At 34.5% G+C, this 15,776-nt stretch overlaps 1 protein-coding gene across 9 annotated transcripts in view; it reads right to left on the bottom strand.

Annotated features, from left to right (window-relative positions):
• Positions 1 to 15,776, bottom strand: part of TINAG (tubulointerstitial nephritis antigen) — an 82,281-nt gene that overhangs the window by 42,782 nt on the left and 23,723 nt on the right. For all 9 annotated transcript variants that reach the window (XR_001743344.3, XM_006715062.3, NM_014464.4 and 6 more), the window contains one exon: positions 4,012 to 4,135. Coding sequence is in view for 8 of the 9 variants with exons in the window: in XM_006715062.3 (XP_006715125.1) it covers positions 4,012 to 4,135 (124 nt within the window). In the remaining variant the exon portion in view is untranslated. The remainder of the gene's footprint in view (positions 1 to 4,011; positions 4,136 to 15,776) is intronic.

The following is a 15,776-nucleotide window of genomic DNA, read 5'->3' as shown; positions in this document are numbered from 1 at the left end:
CAAATAGAATATCAATTAATATTGAAATGATACACGGTATTTCTAATAAGGTACATAACCCTTTTTGTTTGAACCCTAACGTAGTCTTTAAAACTGTGTATAATTTATAATTAAAGCCAAAGAGCATTAATATATTTATGTATTCCAGACAGTTGAACTGTGTCATACTTTCAGTTATAATTTTTGTCCTATTTTGATATTACTCAATTGTCCTATTGACTTCAAAGATTTTTTTAGTTTCTTGTTCCTTTGATGTTCTGTATACTCCTGAACTCCTCATTAAGGAATCTGTCAGGTGAAACTCTTGGAGGGCAAGAGCCATATGTTCCTTATATTTCTATTTCCTGTACCTAGAACAGTATCTTGCATATAGTCATGGGAAAATACATATTTTCTAAATGAATTTAACTAAACCAGGGCAATCAAGAAAACTAACCATAGAAATATTCATTGGAAATTCATCCACAGTCATCTGATATATTGGAGTAAAACTGAATTCTTTGTTTTTAAACTGGTTTAATCTAATTTAACTACCCAGGAGACCATACTTAAGCTAATCCAGACTAATATGAATCTATCTTATACAGTATCTAAAGGCTACATAGCACACTTTTGTGCTCATAATATAAATGAAAATTATTATCTTAATCTTGTTTTAGTAGACATGGAATTCAGCTTGTTTATACATATATATAAAACGAAGTGAATATATTTGTTTAGTTACAATTACTGTTACTACTGTTACTAACTGTTGTAACTACTATTAACTAATACTATTAGTTACATATAATATAGTTCATTATATATAGCTATACATGTAATTATATATATACAATCTAATAGCTATATATGTAACTGATTATATGTGATGCTATATACAACTAATAATATATTTATGACTATCATATTGTTAACTAATATCATTATATATGTATACACACACACACACAAACTTTTTATTATTAAAACTTCTATTCTTTTGTTATATGATTTCCTAGAATTGTAATTGTTATTAGTTCATTCCTTTCCTCAACACATTTATTAAACACCTACTAACTGACAGGCATTGTAGCACTGGAAATTACAATGATGAACAAGAAACAAGGGAGACATAGTTCTGCCCTCTTAGAATAATAGACCAGGGAAACTAATTAACCAGTAGCAAAACCCTACAGATGTCATCATTTTGATCATTGTACCAAAATAAACTAATGTGAGTGATGAGATTATGAAAAAATTGGGGTGGGTACCATTTTAGTACAGACTTTTTTATTGAATATCTGGAACAGTCTTGTTGAATATCTGGTACAGTCTTGTTCAGTTTTGTTCTAAGTTGGTTTCTTACTCACTTTTAATTAAAGGCAACAAAATAATAACCTTTCTTCTATTCATTCACTTTTCTTAGTGAAAGTTTATTTTTTTTCTCATCAAAATTGTTAGTGTCCTGAAACCCCTCAAGGTGCTAATTAAAAATTTTATAAAATAATTCATTTAATTCATTTACATATGTATCTTTGTATACACATATTTTTAATGTAACTACAGCATATTACAATGCTTTAGGGAAATTGCTGGCATCCTTTAGATGCTCAATATGTGTTAAATCTATAACCTCCAGCTCCCTACTAAATTCCCATCTACTATTGCACTAGGATATATTTCACAGGAGCAAATGGCATTACACGACTTCTGATAGTCTCAAGAAAATAATTCCCCATTTCATCAAGGAAAGGAGAAATTCTTTGATGCTCTGACATTCAGCACAGGGGTTTAGAAAGAAATCGAAATTTTAAAAAATGGTGTAACTGTGTTTTCATTCAGAAAATACTTTTATAGTGTAGAGAAAACAGTAATCCAGAAGTTGGAAGCCTGGTCTCCAGGATTATTTCTGATATTTCTCATCTTTTGGCTTCAGATAAGCCACTTTACCTATTTGGGCCTCGTTTATAATACTGGAGGCTTGAATAAGGTGACCTTTAAAATCTCTTCCAGCCTCACAAATCTGTAGATTTCAACTGAAGGATAAATGTTTTAAATCCTAATGTTATGCAATATGTTGGTCTTATACCGACATTTCTGAATCTCAATGATGGTTTAGCTAAAATTCACTTGAAATATTTAGAAAAGGTCAGAATATTTAAGAATGACTCAGTTCAACCAATTGTTTTCCACTCTCTTCTTAAAAACTCTCACTGGACAGTACCTCTGAGACACACTCTATTCTTTCCCTTGCTTATTTTATTCCGTCTTCAAATGTATGTGAAACATATTACCCCCACTACTCCAAACACCTTTATCTCTTCAGCTTCTGAAAAATAGCTTGAATTTGATTTGATTACATAAGTTTTTAAAATATATGTGCATATTTTTAAGTCTTATTTATTCAATTGTATAGCTTTTAGTTTCTCTGAGAGATAATCTATTTTTGTAACTAATACTTCTCGACGTAATTTTTTAGATCTTTATGATAATTTAGTTTATTTTTTTCTTTATTTAACACAAAAAAGAATTGCCCTAATTTATCATACTGAATTCACAGGATACAAAACTATGTCCTTTGGAATCACAAAAGGAAACCTCTCTCTGGTGTTCCGTGAATTAGGTAGGGGAACAATCCTGACTTGGTACAGTGCAGAGGCTATCTGTGGGGTTGAGACCTGGGAACACCAAAATATATCCTCCACCCTAGCAAGTTGCTTTCAGTATTTCACCACAAATGTTTTCCTTTAGATATCTTCAGAAATACTGGCATAATATAAATTTTAGGCAAAATTCTTATAGATCTAGGTGTAACACCTTAACCACATGAATATAAAATGGCAAACGGTTTATTATATTAAACCTCTCTCCACCCATCTGAAACAACCTTAATCTTCTTTTTATTATCTGGTCTTATCCATCAATAGACAAACAAATTTTAGCTCAGAAAGGTCTCCATGTGGGTCCCTGACACATCAAGGACATCATAAGATAGCCAGAGAGGGGGTGTGGGGAGCAGTGAATTAACAAATGTAGCCACTTGGGGTGAGTTTGGCTACCATTATGATTTTAACAAAGGCATTTCTGGAGTTGTCTGATTGATACTATGGAGCAATGGTATTTAGACAAAGATGTCAGCATTTCTCTGTCCCAGGATATGCTGCCTTTCAGAGCTGGCTTCTTGAACAGCCTATGTACTTGTTCACAATCCTTCAATGGCTTTAAACTGTCTTTGAACACTGTTGAAATTACCTGCAAACTCTAGAGCATGGTTTTATGAAGATAATTGAATGACAGCCAATCATCATGTTAGGTTTCATTTAATTCCTGAAATATATTCAACACTCCTTTGAGGACAATTTTGGAGACCTAATTTGAGGGTTAGCCTGTAACTAATTTATTGGATTTGTGAATTTATATGAAAGTAACTATAAAAGAGTCATTGCTTATACTTTTTGAGTAACAGTAGACTTAATTTAGAAGCTATTCTTATTAAAAGATCAGTTACATTACTTTTGAGTCAGAACCTATATATTTGCTTATATTTATTTAAAATGAAATAAAATCCATTTGATCCATTATTATTTAGGTTTAAAGTCTTACTTCACATCAAATTAGATTAATAACTGTTTTTGCAAATCATATAAAGAGTAAAGGTATGAGGATTACGTGGGTGTGTCTATATGTATATTAGAATTATAAATAATATATGAATGAAAAAGAACCTTAATCCTTTTTTATTATTTGGCCTTAACTCTGAATAGACAAACACATTTTAGTAAATTTATTTTGTCACTCTTTTGATTCGCTCTCTATTTAAAATTTCACCCTAAAATAAAAAAAAAAAACTTTTAGACTAAAAATGGATTTTTTATATAATCTTCAGGTTACTTTCTTCCATCATAATGAGATTTTATTTGATCATATGCTAATATTTAAATATTCTAATTGTTAAAATTGTTCAATTATTCTCTCAGTCTCTAGAGCCAAAAGGAGTAGTTTATAAGGAAGGAATTAAAATGACTTTATTACTTGCAGTGGAAAATGCCCAGGATGCAGCACAATTTTTTTGATCCAATGGGCCATGAGTCCATCCAGGCCATTTATAAGAAGCAACAAAAAACTCTGGAAGATCAGTTGTTGCAGGTAAAGAAGCCTAAAGAGGAAGAAGAGGTACATATATGAGATTTTCTCAAATATGTCTCAATAGGAAAATGTCACGCCCTTTTATAAAGTTATAATTATTTTTTAAATTATTTTATACATCCAAGTTTCCAGATGAACTACAGCTATGTGGGATTTATATTTCACTCTATGGTTAAAAATGACAATTCAATATGGGGACTCATAACCTAATACAAGGTCATGAGAAAAATACATAGAATGGTTTTACTGGGTTACTGCACAGTGCAATAATATCAGCCAATGTTTCTATCACCTTGAATCAGAGTTTTGCTCATCCATAGGAAGACCACATGGTGTTATTCAAATTTGTCCTCATAAAGAACATTTACTTCTCTGTCTCTCCTATTTTAAAGAGTTTATGTGATTCTGAGATGAAATTAATTTTGAAAGGGTGCATTTATGACAATTATGTATTATATGTGTATAGAGCCCCAAGGAACACATCAATTTTACACCAGCTATTAGGAAATACAACTAGGATGAATTGGTTGATATTTATAAAATACTTGAAGTCTAAAAAGGACTTCAGGACTGGGCACGGTGGCTCACGCCTGTAATCCCAGCACTTTGGGAGGCTGAGGCGGGTGGATCACAAGGTCAGGAGTTCGAGACCAGCCTGGCCAACATGGTGAAAACCCGTCTTTACTAAAAATACAAAAAATTAGCCAGGCATGGTGGTGGGCACCTGTAATCCCAGCTACTCAGGAGGCTCAGGTGGGAGAATCACTTGAACCTGGGAGGTGGAAATTGCAAGAGGTTGCAGTGAGCCGAGATCGCGCTACTGCTCTCCAGCCTGGGCGACAGTGCAAGACTCCATCTCAAAAAAAAAAAAAAAGACTTCAGGAAGTGTGAAAGAGCAACGGTGCAAAATTATGGTTTCTTAAGAGCCCAGGTTAAAGCCCTGACAAAGTCTGTTTTGGCTGCCATCTTTCCAAGAAGCCAACTAAATTGTAAACTTGTTCTGTTCATTTCATTCAAAGAAAATCTAGAACACTATAACCTGTTATTTCCCAAACTTTTCTAAAGAGATGACTTTCACTTCCAAAAAGAATCAGGCTTAAACCAAATAACGATTTGTTTATTAGTTTTTCATCAGTTGTGTATATGTGTTCTCACACACACACACACACACACCCCAATCATTTCTGAGCATTCTTTCAAGTTTTGAAAGTGTTTTAATGTCTTAATACTCATTATTTTATTTTGTCTTCTCAATATTCCTATGTGATATACTCAGGGACAAATATTATTAGCTATTTTTTATGAATGAGAAAACTAACTTTTAGCAGTTAAAAGACATGTTGAGTCCCTCAGCTAAACAAGAAATGCTCCTAGGACTACACTCAGGCTTCTAAATTCTTAACTGCTTCATTTCTATAGTTTCCCTGCTTTATCAGAAATATATGGCTAATTTGCCGCAGAAGTAAAATGTTAAAAATTTTTACCAATTTAAAAGTTTTGTGATTGTGCCTTGAGCTAGTCATATTACTGATCTGGTTGGTATCTTGCAAAAAAAAATTACTTCTGATAAGTACATAATAGCTTCCAAGATTAAAACAAGGAATGTTTAGAATTTACAAGTCTGCTTGAAAAGGTTTTCATCCAAAATAATTTATAAATTTGTATTTTAATAGGGGAGTTCAGTTTTGACTTAGAAAACTATTACCACCTGACAAGAAAGTTATTGTATCCTGAGGTCCATTGCTGCTATTTTGATGATGGAAGAAAGTGCCAAAAACATCAAGCAGATCATTGTGAAGTGCTTACATGATAACTTCAAGGATGGTATCATAGAAAACTAAGTGATTTGGGGGTTTTGATGACATTAGATGGACTGCATTGCAGAATCTTAGGGTTGGGGCAGAATACATTTATTGCTCTGGGTAGATAATTTGAGAGATACAGACTCACTTTTGAAAGGTGCCTTCCTAGCTGAGGCAGAAATATACATATCTTAAAACTCATACCCTTCAATTTTGTATTATTGGTTTGTCAGTGTGCCTTTAGGCATTTATAATACTAAGTCGCCTCATGTTTTCAGAAAAATAGTGGAGTGTCAATTGTTATTTTATCACTTTAAAATTTCAACTTAATGACAAAGCTAGGATATGTTCCTTCTACTCTACTGAAAAAATAAACATATAACTATTACTTTAAACACAATTCAGCAGGGTTGGGTTATTTAGAAATTGACCTCCACATTTGAAAGCCTATCAGAGTACTTTGCATATGGGAGATATGCAATAAATATTTAATAATAATAATGAAATACGTATCTATCAAGTAAAAGTATGTTTTCCTCCATAGGCACTTTAAGTTAAATCATAATACTAGCATGCATTTGTCGCTTTTATGATTTATTCTTTAAAAATGAAAAAATATAAATGGTGAATCCGTCTCAATAAGACAAGGCAATAGTGAAACAACAAGCAAAATGACACTTTTATTAAAAACTTATTTACCAATCCACTAAGCCAGATCAATTTATGAAGATCATCTGTTGGATTTTCAAGATTTTTACCATTTATTTATTACTGCTTTTACTAAAAATGAGCTCCTAGGATTTGAGGAGCAGCAGGCACATATTTTTTATCTGCCTCATGATATCAGCTAATCTGATATTATAAAACCACAGAAAATTTTATATTTCATTATTTCACAATTACTGTATTCCTCTGTAAAGTAAATTGTTTAGAGTTTATAAATAAAGGTAAGCATCACAGAATAATGGCTGTTAGGAATTGGTAATAGAAGTTTGGCTTTAATGAATGATACATTTGTTTTTAATTTTTTTTTTTTTTGCTTAATAAAACAAAAGAATCAAGAAGATCAGCTGATAGTGACAGAAATTCCAAAATGACACTGGCTTGAGTAGATAGAAATTCATTTTTAAGAAAGACTTACAGGATTTCATATAGATATGCTTAATTCTTTTCATTGTAATGTTGAAAAATATTTTAATCAGGATCTAACCATATTTCCAAATCAGTATTAGCCAAATTTGATGTTCAATGTGAACAGTCTCCCTGTTTCAGTATTTTCATTTAAAAATTAGAAATTAAAGATATTGTTGGCAAATATGGGAATTAAATACAACAATAAACACTGGAGAATTGTATAACATTTGCATTTAATTAAATTAAAATCTCTAAAAGAGTGGTGGAAATGTAATCATAGCATAGCTTGAGATAAATTGATCAATTTTCTCAGGAACCTCAGAATAAATTCTAGACATTCTTACAATTGAGTCTGTATCCACACAATATCCTCTATGTGCATCAGCCCTATATTTTCAGTTGTATTTCCCCCCACCCATTTAAGCTTGGATGCTTATAGTGACCTGAGAACCAAATGAAGCAACAGAGAATGAAATTCTGTTATGACCTTTACAATCTAAGGTCAGTGGCCATGAATACCAAGAAATTTTGGAACTATTTGATACTGGGGATGAAAAGGCTAATTTTCTAGTTGCTAATGGCTAAATGAATTTCTCATCTTCAACAATATTTGTCTTTGTGCCTTACCTTTAAAAGAGGTATCCTTTGATAAGTCTCTAGTTTTTTATAATAGAGTAATCTTTTAATGACTTCTTAAAAAGATCAATATGTAATGTAATTGCCCACTTCCCAGCCCCTCCATGCACCCCCCTCAACCCGCCTACCCAGGCTGCTATCACTAAGTTGTACCCTGTGGAATGTAAAGTAGCTTCTGAGATCTTTCCTTAAGAGACAGCTGGCACTTGACTTTTACTCCTTTGTCTTGATCTTTCGTATTTTTCTGTTGGCAGAAATGTAGGCATTGCAGACAGACATAGAGCAGTCCTGTTGAACCATTATATGACCTTGGAAATAAAGGTGCTGGGCAATGGAAGGACAAGAAGAATGAAGTGTGGGTATCCAGCACCACAGAGTACAATTCCAGCACAGGGCTACCCACTTCCAGATTTACTGGTGAGAAATCAGTTTCTATCTTATTTAAGCAACCGTCATTTTAAATTTTTGTCACTTTCAGCTGAGCCTAATCATAACTAAAACAGCACACACAATTGCCATTAAAGTTGCTAGGGCAATGTCATATTTCATTGAACCCAAGGCATCAACAAATGTAAGAAAGCATCTCAATTTCAGAGGTGTTAATGGGTGAAAAAAATATGCATCTGAAAATGGATGAACTGTGATATTTCCTTAAATGAGTTCCTTAGAACACTAGTTCTGAGGAATTTTAATAGGTAATTACAAAAGGAGGTAATAAAATAGTTCTGAGAAACACCGGTTTTGAAAATTAGATTTTTGTCTTCACTGCAGTGTTTTTTACAAACTGCTAATGTATGTGAGCTCTAAAACATGGTAATAATGTTCATGGTGTTAAATGTTCAGGATTTGGTCCAGTGCAAAATATTTTATTTCATTTACATCATATCATTTTTATTGTGAAGCAGATCAATGAACTAGTCTTTTTTTTTTTTTTTTTTTTTTTTGAGACAGAGTCTTGCTCTGTCGCCTGGGAGTGCAGTGGCGGGATCTAGGCTCACTGCAACCTCCGCCTCCCAGTTTCAAATGATTCTCCTGCCTCAGCCTCCCGAGTAGCTGGGACTACAGACACGTGCCACCACACCCGGCTAATTTTTCTTCGTATTTTTAGTACAAACGGGGTTTCACCGTGTTAGCTAGGATGGTCTTGATCTCCTGACCTTGTGATCCGCCCACCTCGGCCTCCCAAAGTGCTGAGATTACAGGTGTGAGCCACACCTCCCGGCCAAACTAGTGTTTTATGGAACATACTTTAGGTCAAGACAGACCCAGCCATGGAGAGGCCAGAGAATAGGTGCCTGTACTATGAACACACAAAATGACTTTAGAAGTCTACTTTTTAACAGCCTAAAATACTTCTTCATAGAGAAGAAAATAATAAATTTTTACATTTATTTTTGAAGATTTGTCCTGCAGTTATCAATTAGGTTCCACTGTGTTGTTCAAGCCATAGTCAATTTTACCACAGTGTTATACATCAGACTGTGACTAGTGCAGAAATACCACATTGAAATCTGAAAATTGATTTGAGAGATAAGACATTCATTCTGCTAAAAGTGTAGGTGAATAAGGAGTGAGGCCAGGCGTATATTTTCTAAGTTTACCGAAGGGTGTGAGGTTCCATTCTGAGAGAGACAGAAGTAGTAAAAAGAAAGAAACACAAGTTTGACACTCTTTGAATTTTAAAATTCTTAATTCAGTGACAGCAAGAACGACTATCATACTACTCTGTCCTCGGCTTTTCCCTACATGGATGAAAAAATTCTGAGATGAGCTGAAGGAAACATATACAAACACAGTCTCCACCGTAACATCTGGCCCTGCCTCTCTTCCCCTCTTCTACCGCACCATCAGCCCTTCCTGTATTCCAGAAGCCTGATGCCATTTGCCTTATGTTCATGTGTGTGGGAGCTAAACACGAATTTTATGGAGAAAATGGTCGTTATTGCTCAATATTATAAAAAGTATATAACTGTGTTTTTCCCTTTTATACTGAACGTTTTGGTTTCCACAGAGGCTTCTGTTTATAAGGGTGACATATGGTATTGCAATCAGGTAGGAGATGTTTGTTCAGACAGGGTTATTCCTAGTCAAATCAAAAATCTCAAATCCCAGCCTGGCACAATGGCTCACACCTGTAATCCCAGCATTTTGGGAGGCCGAAGCGGGCGGATCACCTGAGGGCAGGAGTTCGAGACCAGCCTGGCCAACATGGCAAAACCCTGTCTCTACTAAAAATACGAAGATTAGCCGGGCTTGGTGGCAGATGCCTGTAATCCCAGCTACTCAGGAGGCTGAGGCAGGGAGAATTGGTTGAACTCAGGAGGCAGAGGTTGCAGGAAGCAGAGATAGCAGCACTGCACTCCAGTGTGGGCAACAGAGCAAGACTCTGTCTCAAAAAAAAAAAAAAAAAAAAAAAATTCAAATCCCATGAACAGTAGAAACTAAACTTGGAAAATTACTTTAAGATTTTCAAAGATATTTCTTATGCCTCAGTACTTGGCTGTCATTGAAATATATTTCTGAAAGGAAAAAAAAATCCTCATATTATTACATGTTATCTAGAGAATAATAAAGTATCCAGATGATTAAAAAAATTTTCCATTTCTCACCTCAAAAATCATTGGCTTTAAAAGATTTTTTATTATAAAATAAATAAAGTATTATTTTACTTTAACTTCCAACATACTATAGAAAGTATAACATTTTTTTCTTTGTTAGTTAATGCCAATACCTTAATATATATTGGATGACCGAGAAAGGATGCTGTTCTGGTTAGCTATGAGATTGACTCAAACAATTTTAGATTATTTTACTTACCGCAATCTGATATTAAATAATATAGTACACCAACAGGTTTTAAATGCCATACTAGCCTTCTTAATATTTTAATTGTTTCCAAATAGTTCCACCTTAGACATAATACTAACCTGTAATAGCTTTAGTAACCTAATTAGTCTCCTTGGGAAACAAATAAAAATAATTTCAAAATTGCTAAAGAAACAAATTTTAATGGAGCCAAGCATACAAATGAACTCTTAATTTTCACATTTCTATGTGAAAATAGTATTTTTTCAAAATATTTTTAATATTTATAAGATATAACACAGTGAAGCTTCTTGGTGCTATCTCCCAAATTCACAAGCACTTGAACATTATGTCTGGAAGAACAATCAGGTACAAAGTTGATTTGATTTGATATAAGAGCATCATAGAACTCTCAGTTCACCAGAAATATATAAACTCTATCAGAGTCAATAAATCCAGGCCTACACCTTTCTTTATAAAAGAAAATGCTGCAAATAATGAAGGTTTTAATAACTTAGTCCTTACCACATTAACTTGCCTCAAAACCCTGCTATTCTCCCAAGGTCAATACAAGGGAGAAAGAACACCTTTATATATTACATAATAACATTTATTTAAACTTTACTATAATCTAAGTACTGTGCTAAGCATTTCTCATCAAGTATTTCATGGGACTTATGCAACCCTATGAGCTAGATACTACCACCATTGTCATTTTGTGCAGAAGGAGACTGAGGTAATAAGTGAAGGAGCCAGTAGACATGTTACGGGAATAATGACTTAAGCTAAAGGAATGAAGCCAGGAAACCAGCCAGGGAAGGAAAGAGCTTCCCCAGGAATTCAGGATGACTCATGGCTTATCTTTCCCATCCAGGGAAAATAATTTCCCGAATCTAAACTCTTACCCAAGCAATATGGCCAAGGAGATGTTTATGGAAGGAGGTGCATGGAAATTTTCAGCATGCTTGAAATCATACCACTGTTGGCTACTGCCCACCCTGGCTGTATGTATAGTCTATCATGCATTGAAAATGATTTTTTAAAAGTTGGGGAAAAGTGTGTTTGCAGGGCGGTGAGGGGAGTGCACCACTAATCGAGAAGAATTCCCACAAAAAGAAATTCGTTGTCACTGTAGTTGGAGGCAGTTTGATATCACATATTGGGTTTTTCTATGTAGTCAACAGACTAAGAACTAGCTATAAAACTAACTGGTAGCTATAGCTTTCCAAAGCTTCCAGTTCAACTCAGTTCTTTCTTACTTCATGTTCTTCCTAGAAACACTTGCTGTTATTTCTGATTCTATTCTGCCTGACCACATATTAAAACCTCTCTAACACTCAGAAATTTAGTCCTAACTACCATGCCCTAGAAATAAGATGCATTTCCTTGACTTACATCGTAAGTGTAATAGAACTCTTACTGGTTCAGCTGAATTTTTCTTATTGCTTTCCTGGAATTACTTGGCAATTCCAGGTGTTGTAACTTATTACAATAATTCAAAGCACTAGGTAATTTAAATTCTTCCCAACTCATCATTAAGAGTTTTAATTTAAATATCACCAGAGTGACTTTTATGCAAACAAATCCCCAGGAGCCAGTAAATGATTTTGAATTAAATTTCCTTTTCTTTGCTATGGTGAGTGGAAACTTGGGAAAGAAATGTAAATCATTTTCTCTAGAACATAAAATATTCCAAGCTGCAGAAATTTGTTTATAAAGGATATGTTAGAAATAATTTTCAGGAAATATATAGAGACACATAAGTGAGTGTGTGGCCCACCGTGGCCCTCAATAAAAGCAAGTGAAAGAGCAAACCTTATAAAGGTCTGTCCTCTTTTCTTAAATAATGCTGCCCACTATTTTTTCTCACTGGGTAAGAACAAAAATGAGAAATAAAACAGAAAAAAAAAACTCTTTTTCTGTTGATCATACAGTTAGGTCACTCAAAACCATAAAGATTTAAATCTTATGATTGTAGGGGAGACCCTAAAGTATATCAAAGCTGAACATTTCAGAAAGTTAGCTTTGGTTGAGAGATTAAAAGTCTTTTTACTACTTTGAACCTGAATTGGCCAACGCTATATTGGAATTCTACTAACTGGAGTAAGTAGACTTAGTAGAGTTCCAATTAGCATTGGCCAATTCAGGAACTCTACTAAGGGGAAATAATTTTTTAGATGGCCTGTCTATGAATATAAATAATTCTGTGGTGGCTTTTAACCTCTCTCAATCTTGGCTTGACTTAACTTCTCAACCTCAATTTGCCTGTCTTTAAAATGTGAGTAATGATAGGATCCACTACATCATGCTGCTGGGAAAATTAAATGAGATCATGTACGAAACTGTAAGTGCTTTAATACACAACTACTTCATAAACATCTGTTATTATCTTCTCTGATACTAGTTATAATTTAGAAGGCCCTGCTACTGGAATTTGAATTGGAACAATAACTCAGGTGATTACATCACTCAAAAGCAAAGTACATTAAACATTTGAAGAGAAACCTGTGCATTTACAACTCATCCAACAGGAAACAATAATCTTGCCTGCTAAAGATGCTGAGAGCTTCTAGGCAGCTGAGACTGGATGTCTTCATTGGAGAGTGGAGAGGCTACACTCCAGCAGCCTGGAAGCACCACTCTGCCCCGGGCATTCATAACAGGCCTTGAATACAATCAATATCTCAACTGGAAAGTCTATGTGCCTGGAGAACACCACACATTGGGTGGTAACACGGCAGATTTGTGAGTAACAGGTTTGTAATAACAAGAGAGGTAGAAACTTCTTTGTGCAAGATACCTAGTAGCAGATGATAACACCTCTTAAAAATGAAAGGGAAAAACCAATATGATAGTTCAAAGCATAAGAATGCTAGAAAACTGGAGGTAATTTTACAAAGGAGTTTGCCAGGTCATCAGGCAAAATTTGAAGATATGCTTTTAACAGAAATCTTGAGGATTTTTGAGGATCAACCTTTACTAATCATCAAGGCATATATGTCTGAAGATACTAACATTTATTTTATTCTAATATGATAATGAATATTCCTATAGACAGGACAAAATAACTGTGTTTAGGTAAAAAAGAAAAATTGAAACAATGACTTGCTGAAGTACTGGCACACTGAATAACCAGTAATCCGAAATTTGTATTTCTGTGAAGTCATTATCAATGTAAATAAACACTCAATTATTCTTTTTCTGGATTATCAATTTTATTTTATTTTATTTTTTTTTTTTTTATTATACTTCAAGTTCTGGGATACATGTGTAGAACGTGCAGGTTTGTTACAAAGGTATACATGTGCCATGGTGGTTTGCTGCACCCATCAATCCATCATCTACATTAGATATTTCTCCTAACGCTATCCCTCCCCTAGCCCCCAATCCCCCGACAGGCCCCAGTGCATGATGTTCCCCTCCCTGTGCTCGTATGTCCTTATTGTTCAACTCCCACTTATGAGTGAGAACATGCAGTGTTTGGTTTTCTGTTCCTGTCTTAGTTTGCTGAGAATGATGGTTTCCAGCTTCATCCATGTCCCTGCAAAAGATATAAACTCATCCTTTTTATGGCTGCATAGTATTCCATGGTATATATTTGCCACATTTTCTTTATCCAGTCCATTATTGATGGGCATTTGGGTTGGTTCCAAGTCTTTGCTATTGTGAATGGTGCTGCAATAAACATATGTGTACATGTGTCTTTATAGTAGAATGATTTATAAACCTTTAGGTATATACCCAGTAATGAGATTGCTGAATCAAATGGTATTTCTAGTTCTAGATCTTTGAGGAACTGCCCCACTGCCTCCCACAATGGTTGAGCTAATTTACACTCCCATCACCAGTAAAAAAAGCATTCCTATTTCTCCACATCCTCTCCAGCATCTGTTGTTTCCTGACTTTTTAATGATTGCCATTCTAACTGGCATGAGATGGTATCTCACTGTGGTTTTGATTTGCATTTCTCTGATGACCAGTGATGATGAGCTTTTCTTCATATGTTTGTTGGCTGCATAAATGTCTTCTTTTGAGAAGTGTCTGTTCATGTCCTTTGCCCACTTTTTGATGGGGTTGTTTGTTTTTCTTGTTAATTTGTTTAAGTTCCTAGTAGATTCTGGATATTAGTCCTTTGTCAGATGGATAGACTGCAAAAATTTTCTCCCATTCTGTAGGTTGCCTGTTCACTCTGATGATAGTTTCTTTTGCTGTGCAGAAGCTCCTTAGTTTAATTAGATCCCATTTGTCTATTTTGGCTTTTGTTGCCATTGCTTTTGGTGTTTTATTCATGAAGTCTTTGCCCGTGCCTATGTCCTGAATGGTATTGCCTAGGTTTTCTGCTAGGGTTTTTATGGTTTTAGGTCTTATGTTCAAGTCTTTAATTCATCTTGAGTTAATTTTTGTATAAGGTGTAAGTAAGGGGTCCAGTTTCAGTTTTCTGCATATGGCTAGCCAGTTTTCCCAGCACCATTTATTAAATAGGGAATCCTTTCCCTATTGTTTGTTTTTGTCAGGTTTGTCAAAGATCAGATGGTTGTAAATGTGTGGTGTTATTTCGGAGGCCTCTGTTCTGTTCCATTTGTCTGTATATATGTTTTAGTACAAGTACCATGCTGTTTTAGTTACAGTAGCCTTGTAGTATAGTTTGAAGTCAGGTAGCATGATGCCTCCATCTTTGTTCTTTTGGCTTAGGATTGTCTTGGCTATATGGGATCTCTTTTCATTCCATATAAAATTTAAAGTAGTATTTTCTAATTCTGTGAAGAAAGTCCATGGTAGCTTGATGGGAATAGCATGGAATCTATAAATAACTTTAGGCAGTATGGTCATTTTCACAATGTTGATTCTTCCTATCCATGAGCATATGAGCATGGAATGTTTTTGCATTTGTTTATGTCTTCTCTTATTTTCTTGAGCAGTGGTTTGTAGTTCTCCTTGAAGAGATCCTTCACATCCCTTGTAGGTTGTATTCTGAGGTATCTTATTCTCTTTGTAGCAAATTGTGAATGAGAGTTCACTCATGATTTGGCTCTCTGTTTATCTATTATTGGTGTATAGGAATGCTTGTGGTTTTTTCACATTGATTTACATCCTAAGACTTTGCTGAAGTTGCTTATCAGCTTAAGGAGATTTGGGGCTGAAACAATGCGGTTTTCTAAATATGCAATCATGTCATCTGCAAACAGAGACAATTTGACTTCCTCTCTTCCTTTATGAATACACTTTATTTCGTTCTCTTGCCTGATTGCCCTGGCCAGAACTTCCAATACTATG

This window comes from Homo sapiens, chromosome 6 (genome assembly GCF_000001405.40).
Source record: "Homo sapiens chromosome 6, GRCh38.p14 Primary Assembly".
Taxonomy (NCBI): Eukaryota; Metazoa; Chordata; class Mammalia; order Primates; family Hominidae; genus Homo; species Homo sapiens.
This window is presented reverse-complemented; position numbering and strand designations above follow the sequence as displayed.